This window comes from Homo sapiens, chromosome 2 (genome assembly GCF_000001405.40).
Source record: "Homo sapiens chromosome 2, GRCh38.p14 Primary Assembly".
Classification (NCBI taxonomy): Eukaryota; Metazoa; Chordata; class Mammalia; order Primates; family Hominidae; genus Homo; species Homo sapiens.
Window position 1 is genome coordinate 63,071,482 of NC_000002.12, and position 7,767 is coordinate 63,079,248.

The following is a 7,767-nucleotide window of genomic DNA, read 5'->3' on the forward strand; positions in this document are numbered from 1 at the left end:
TATATTCCAAATACAAAATGCCTCTATAATCTCTCGCCTAGTCTGTTCCAATAACCTCCTTACTGATTATGCTTTCCTCAATCCTGATCCTATACATAAAACCTGTGGTAGTTAGTTTCCAAAGATGGCCCCCAGTGAATCACATCTTCCAGGATTTATGCCCTTGTGTGGTTCCCTTCCATATTGAATCTGAGCTGACCTAGTCACTCACTTTAAGTAATATGGTAGAAGGGATGCTGTGTCAGTTCCAGGCCTCCGCCATATAGCAAAAGTTGAATGCTTGATAGCTTTAACTTTTGCAACTAAAGTGCCTCATAGTAAGTCTCCAGCTCCCCTGCTGGAGGACTAGAAAGTGGAAAGACTGTGCCTGAAACTAGATGGAGGAAGAGAAGGGCTCAGGCATCCCGGTACCCCAGGTGAATCTAGCCTTCTAGATGTCCCTGACAAGATGCCATATGTGTGAGAGAGCCATCTTTGATGTTCCACATCTGTGAAACCCTCAGATGACTTCAGCCTCAGGCAGCATCATATGGAGTTATAGAACTGTCTAACTGAACCTAATCAATCCACAGAATAATGACAAATAACAAAATGGTTGTTGTTTTAAACCACTAAACATTGTGGTGGTTTATTTCACAATAGGTAAAGCCAAAGCCAAAACTAAACCTCTCTTTGTTGTACTTACTACTCCAGTCTCATCTCTGACAGTTTACCTTTGACACTTTAAGATATTCCTTCACTAAGCTGCTTGAAGTTCCCCGAATCCCCTCTGCCTTTTCTTCTAGGCTTTTTGTGCCCACTGTTAGAAACATTTTCTTTTCTTTTCTTTTTTTCAGACAGGGTCTCGCCTTGTCACCCAGGCTGTAGTACAGTGGTGCAATCGTGGCTCACTGTAGCCTTGAACTCCTGGGCTCAGGTGATCTGCCTACCTTAGCCTCTTAACTGTCTGGGACTACAGGCATGCACCACCATGCCTGGCTAAGTTTTAAATTGTTTGTAGAGACAGGGTCTCGCTGTGTTGCCCAGAGTGGTTTTGAACTCCTGGCCTCAAGTGATCCTCCCGCCTAGGCCTCTCAAAGTGCTGGGAATACAGGCGTGAGCTCCCACACCTGGCCTAGAAACATTTTCTTATTTAACTTATAACCTTTGCCCTACCAAAATTCCTACTTAGCTTTCAAATTTTTGCTTAGACATCCCTAAAATCCTAGGTGACTAATTTAATTGCATTGCTAATGTACTCTCATAGTAGCAAATACACTTGCTGGCAGAATAATGGTTGAGAATACATAGTTGAGCAGTGATCTTTTCGCAAGTTGCCTATTCTCTGTAAGCCTCCAGTTTCTTCATCAGGAAAATGAGGATAATCATATAAATTAACCCATAAGTTTGTTGGGAGTATGTAAGAACGTTCAAAAACAGTTAACTATCATTAAGCAAAGGCATGGAATCAACCTAGGTGGCTATCAACGGTGGTATGCATATACCATGGAATACTATGCAGCCATAAAAAACGATGAAATCGGCCGGGTGCGGTGGCTCACACCTGTAATCCCAGCACTTTGGGAGGCCGAAGCAGGCAGATCATGAAGTCAGGAGATCCAGACCATCCTGGCTAACATGGTGAAACCCCGTCTCTACTAAAAATACAAAAACTTAGCCAGGTGTGGTGGTGGGCACCTGTAGTCCCAGCTACTTGGGAGGCTGAGGCAGGAGAATGGCGTGAACCCGGGAGGCGGAGCTTGCAGTGAGCCGAGACCGCGCCACTGCACTCCCGCCTGGGAGACAGAGCGAGACTCTGTCTCAAAAACAAAAAGGAATGAAATCATGTCCTGTGCAGCAACATAGATGCAGCTGGAGGCCATTATTCTAAGTGAATTAACATAGGAAGAGGAACCCAAATATTGTGTTCTCACTTACAAGTGGGAGCTAAACATGGCACAATAGACACTGAGGACTACTAGAGGTAGGAGGGAGGGAGAAAGGCAAGGGTTGAAAAACTATTAGGTACTATGCTCACTACCTGGGTGGATCATTTGTATCCCAGACCTCAGCATCACTCAGTATACCCAAGTAACAAACCTGCTCATATACCGCTTGAATCTAAAAGAAAAGTTGAAATTTTAAAAACCCAAAAACTGTTAATGATTATTAATGTTGTGAAAACATTATCACAGCCCAGGTGCAATGGCTCATGCCTGTAATCCCAGCACTTTGGGAGGCCGAGGCATGAGGATTTCTTGAGGCCAGGAGTTCGGGACCAACCTGGGCAACAACATAGTGAGACTTAGTCTCTACAAAAAATAAACAAAAGTTGCTGTGCATGGTGGTGCCCGCTATAGTCCTAGCTGCTTAGGAGGCTGAGGTGGGAGAATTGCTTGAGTTTAGGAGGTTGAGGCTGCAGTAAGCTGAGATTGTGCCATTGCACTCCAGCCTGGGCAACAGAGCAAGACCCTGTCTCAAAAAGCGACAACAAAAACATTACCATAAGTGTCTGTTTATCACTTTAGAGTCTAGCAAAGTGCCTACAACATAATATGTGCTATATGGGATGCCAGTGAGTCCAGAGGCAGTGGCTCATGCCTATAATCCCACCACTTTGGGAGTCTGTGATGGGAGGGTTGCTTGAAGCCAGGAGTTCAAGACCAGCCTGGGCAACGTAGTGAGACCCCCATCTCCACAAAAATATTTTCAAAAATCAGCTAAGTGTGGTGTGTGTGCTCGTAGTCCTAGCTATTCAGGAGACTGAAATGGGGGGATTGCTTAAGCCCGGAAGTTCAGAGTTGCAGTGAGCTGTGATTATGCCACTGCACTCCAGCCTGGGTGACAGAGCAAAACCTGTTCTCAAAAAAATAAAAATAAAAAAAAATAAGAATTACTAAATGGATGAGTGAATTCAGATTATTCACATTTCATCATATCAATCCAAATAAAAGCCTAAATTCATGCCTTTTTAAATTCTTTTTTTATTTTAGTGAAATATATATAAATACAGATTTGTCATTTTAGCCTTTTTTTTTTTTTTGAGACAAAGTCTCACTCTGCTATCCAGGCTGGAGTGCAGTGGCGCAATCATGGCTCACTGCAACCTCCGCCCCCTGGGTTCAAGTGATTCTCTGGCCTCAGCCTCCTGAGTAGCTGGGACTACAGGTGCACACCACCATGCCTGGGTAATTTTTGTGTTTGTAGTAGAGATGGGGTTTCACCATGTTGGCTAGGCTTGTCTCGAACTTCTGCCCTCAGGTGATCTGCCCACCCTGGCCTCCCCAAGTGCTGGGATTACAGGCGTGAGCCACTGTGCCTGGCCCCTTTTAGCCATTTTAAGTGTACAATTTAGTGGTGTTAATTACATTCACAATATTGTGCCACCATCACCCCTGTCTGTTTCCAATTTTTTTTTCATTATTCCAAACAGAACCTCTGTGTCATTAAACAATGAACTGTAATTTTCCCCTTCCTCCAGAGTCTAGAAACCCTTAATATACTTTCCCTTTCTGTGAATTTACCTATTTTAGATTCTCATGTAAGTGAAATCATACAATATTTATCCCTTTGTGTCTGGTTTATTTCACTTAGCATAATGTCTTCAAGATTCATTCATGTGGCGTGTGTCAGAATTTTCTTCCTTTTAAGGCTGAATATTCTATTGTATACATATATACATTTTGTTTATTTATCCTTTGTTGGACACTTGGGTTGTGTCTTCCTTTTAGCTGTTGTGAATAATGCTGGTGTGAACATGGGTGTACAAATGTCTGTTCAAGCCTCTGCTTTGAATTCTTTCGGGTATATACGCAAAAGTGGAATTGCTGGAATATGTGGTAATTCTATTTTTAATTTTTTGAGGGACCGTCATATTTTCCATAGCAGCTGTACCATTTTACATTCCCCCCGCCCCAGCAATGCACAGGTGTTCCTGTTTCTCCACGTCCTTGCTGACACTTGTTTTTTTCCTTTTAATAATAGTCATCCTAATGGGTAGGAAGTGGTATCTCATTGTGATTTTGACTTTCATCTTCCTAATGATTAGTAATGGTGAGCATCTTTTTCATGTGCCTGTTGGCCATGTGTATATTTTCTTTGGAGAAAGGTTTATTTAAGTCCTGTGTCCATTTTAAAAGTCAGATTGTTTGTTTTTATGTTGTTGAATTGTAGGAATTCTGTATGTGTTCAGGATATTAAGTCCTTATCAGATATATGATTTGGAAATATTTTCTCCCATTCTGTTGGTTGCTGTTTCACTCTGCTGAGAGTATATTTTGAAGTAGTTCAATTTATCTATTTGTTTAGTTTGTTGGCTGTGCTTTTGGTATCATATCCAATAAATTATTGCTAAATTCAGTGTCATGATGATTTCTCCCTTTTTTTTTCCTAAGAGTTTTGTAATTTTAGGTCTTATATTTAGGTCTTTGATCCATTTTGAGTTAATTTTTGTATGTGGTGTAAAGTAAGAGAACTTCATTCTTTTGCATGTGGATATCCAGGTTTTCCAGCACCATTTGTTGAAAAAGACTGTCTTTTACCAATTGAATGGTCTTGGCATCCTTGTCAAAAATCATTTGACAAGGTGCTCTAAGGTTTATTTCTAGGCTGTCTATCGCATTGGTCTTTATGTATGTCTTTATGCCAGTACTATACTTTTTCCATTATTTATAGCATTTAAAAAATAAATTTTATTGTGTATATTTAAGGCATATTTGTAGCTTTTGAAATCAGAATGTGCAAGTCCTCCAACTTTGTCATTTTTTTTCAAGATTGTTTTTGCTCTTCTGGGACCTTTGGAATTTCATATAAATTTTAGGATGGACTTTTCTATTTCTGCAAAAAATGCTATTGGGTCTTTGAATTGAATCTGTGTATTGCTTTGGGTGGTATTATCTTAGCAGTATTAAGTCTTCCAACTCATGAACATTGGATGTCTTTCCATTTATTTATGTTTTCCTTAATTTCTTTCAGCAAAATTTTGTAGTTTTCAGTGTACAAGTCTTGCACCTCCTTTGCTAAATTGATTCCTCAGTATTTTATTTTTTAAACCAAATTTTAATTATGGTAAAATACATATAACATTAACCATCTTAGCCATTTTTTAAGTGTGCAGTTCAATTTAGGTATTCACGTTGTTGTACAACCAGTCTCCAGAACTCCTTTCATCTGTCAAAACAAACTCTGTATCTATGAAACAACCACTCTCCATTTTTCCTCCCCCAGCCTGTGGCACACACCCTTCTACTTCCTGTCTCTAGGAATTTGAATCCTCTAATTACCTCATATAAGTGGCACCATAAAATATTTGTCTTTGTGTGACTGGCTTATTTCACTTAACATAATGTCCTCAAGGTTCATCTATGTTGTAGCATGTGTCAGAATTTTATTCCTTTTTTTTTCTTTTTTTTTTTTTTGAGATGGAGTCTCGCTCTGTCGCCCAGGCTGGAGTGCAGTGGCGCGATTTCGGCTCACTGCAAGCTCCGCCTCCTGGATTCACGCTATTCTTCTGCCTCAGCCTCCCAAGTAGCTAGGACTACAGGTACCCGCCACCACGCCTGGCTAATTTTTTTTTTGTATTTTAAGTAGAGACAGGGTTTCACCATGTTAGCCAGGATGATCTTGATCTCCTGACCTCGTGATCCACCTGCCTTGGCCTTCCAAAGTGCTGGGATTATAGGTGTGAGCCACCGCACCCGGCCGAATTTTATTCCTTTTTAAAGCTGAATAATATTCTATTGTGTGGGTATATATATATATGATATATATATGATATATATATGAGATAAACAATATATGTATCACTGGTAGATGACACTTGGGTTGCCTGCACTTTTTAGCTATTCCGAATAATCCTGCTCTGAACATGAGTGTACAAATGTATTAGTTCACTAGGAGCAGCATAACAAAATGCCACAGTCTGGGTGGCTTAAACAACAGCAATTAATTTTCTCACAGTTCTAGAGGCTAGAAGTCTGAGATCAAGGTGTTGTCGGGGTCAGTTTTTCCTGAGGCCTGTCTCCTTGGCTTGCAGATGGTCATGTTCTCACTATGTGGACACATCTCTGGTGTCTCCTCTTCTAAGATCACCAGTCATATTGGATTAAGTCCCATCCATGTGACCTCATTTAACCGTAATTACCTTTTTAAATGTATTGTCTCCAAATATAGAGACATATTCTGAGGTGTACTGAGGGTTAGGACTTCAACATGTAAATTTTGAGGAGGACACAATTTAGTGTATAACAGCAAATATCTGTTTGAGATTCTGCTTTAATTCTTTTGTGTACGTACCTAGAAGTAGAATTTCTGGTTCATATGGTAATTTAATTTTTAATTTTTTGAGGAACCACTGTACTGTTATCCAGAGCAGCTATACCATTTTACATTCCCACCAACAGTGTACAGGGGTTTCAATTTCTACACATCCTGAGCAACACTTATTGTTTTCTGTTTTTTTAATAATAGTCTTCCTAATGGTTGCATTTTATTCTTTTTGATAATGTTATAAATGAAATTATTTTCTTCTTTCTTGTATTGTTTCCTCCTAATCTGTAGAAATGCAGCTGATTTTTGTGTGTGTTGATCTTGTATCCTGTAACTTTGCATAATTTGTTTATTAGCTCTGACAGGTTGAAAATTTTTTTTTTTTTTTGTAGAGATGGGGTCTCACTATGTTGCCCAGGCTGATCTTGAACTCCTGGTTTCAAGTGATCCTCTCACCTTGGCCATCCAAAGTATTGGGATTACAGGCATGAACCACCATGCCTGGGTTTTATGTGGATCCTTTAGGGTTTTTTCTACATAGAAGATGATATGGTTAGGCTTTGTGTCTCCACCCAAGTTTCATTTTGAATTGTAATCCCCACAGTCCCCATGTTTCAAGGGAGAAACCAAGTGAAGGTCAGTGAATCATGGGGACAGTTTCCCCCATGCTGTTCTGGAGATAGTGGGTGAGTTCTGATAAGATCTGATGGTTTTATCAGGGGCTCTTCCCCGTTCACTAGGCACTCCTCCTTCCTGCCACCTTGTGAAGAAGGTGCCTTTTTTCCCCTTCACCTTCTGCCATGATTGTAAGTTTCCTGACACTTCCCCAGCCATGCTGAACTGTGAGTCCATTAAACCTCTTTCTTCTATAGATTACTCAGTCTCAGGCAGTTCTTTGTAGCAGTATGAAAACAGACTAATACAGAAGATCATTTCATCTGCAAACAGAGATAGTTTTACTTCTTCCTTTCCAACTTGAATGCCTGTAATTTTCTTTTTCCTCCCTAATTGCTCTGGCTAGAAATCCAGTACTTTTTGAATAGAAGTGACAAAAGCAGGCACCCCTGATTTGTTCCTGATCTTACAGGAAATCAAGCCTATTTTTTTCTATAAAGTAAAAATTTCCATCTGTGGAGAAAGTCATATTTGGGATACACTTCTCATTAGCTTGGTTTGAATGAGGAAACATAAGAGCTTATTAAGCACAAGAGGGAAAAGTATGGGATGGAAAGAGCCCTTCGAAGCTGATTGGTAGGTATGGGAGAACCTCACTAGGCTTGACAAAATGTTGTTTTGTCAAGGGGTCAGGGACATCCGAGACTCACCCCACCACTAGGAGGCAGTCCCTAGCTGTTTCAGGGCTAGTTTCTGAAAGTATGAGCAGCATTCTATGAGTACTAGCAACTATAATGGATGTTCATAGGATATGACAGATATTTTTGTAAATTAGGAATAAACATGAAGTAGAAAATAATAATTTCCTGTGTGCTTGTCTTCATCGATATAGGGTCCATGTGATTT

At 40.2% G+C, this 7,767-nt stretch overlaps 1 annotated feature.

The window, feature by feature from the left end:
• Positions 7,473 to 7,767: an enhancer, noted in NCBI's record as "tiled region #3143; K562 Activating DNase unmatched - State 13:Ctcf". NCBI's record gives its function as "activates a minimal TATA promoter and a strong SV40 promoter by Sharpr-MPRA in K562 cells {active_cell/tissue: K562}" and the evidence as "EXISTENCE:reporter gene assay evidence [ECO:0000049][PMID:27701403]".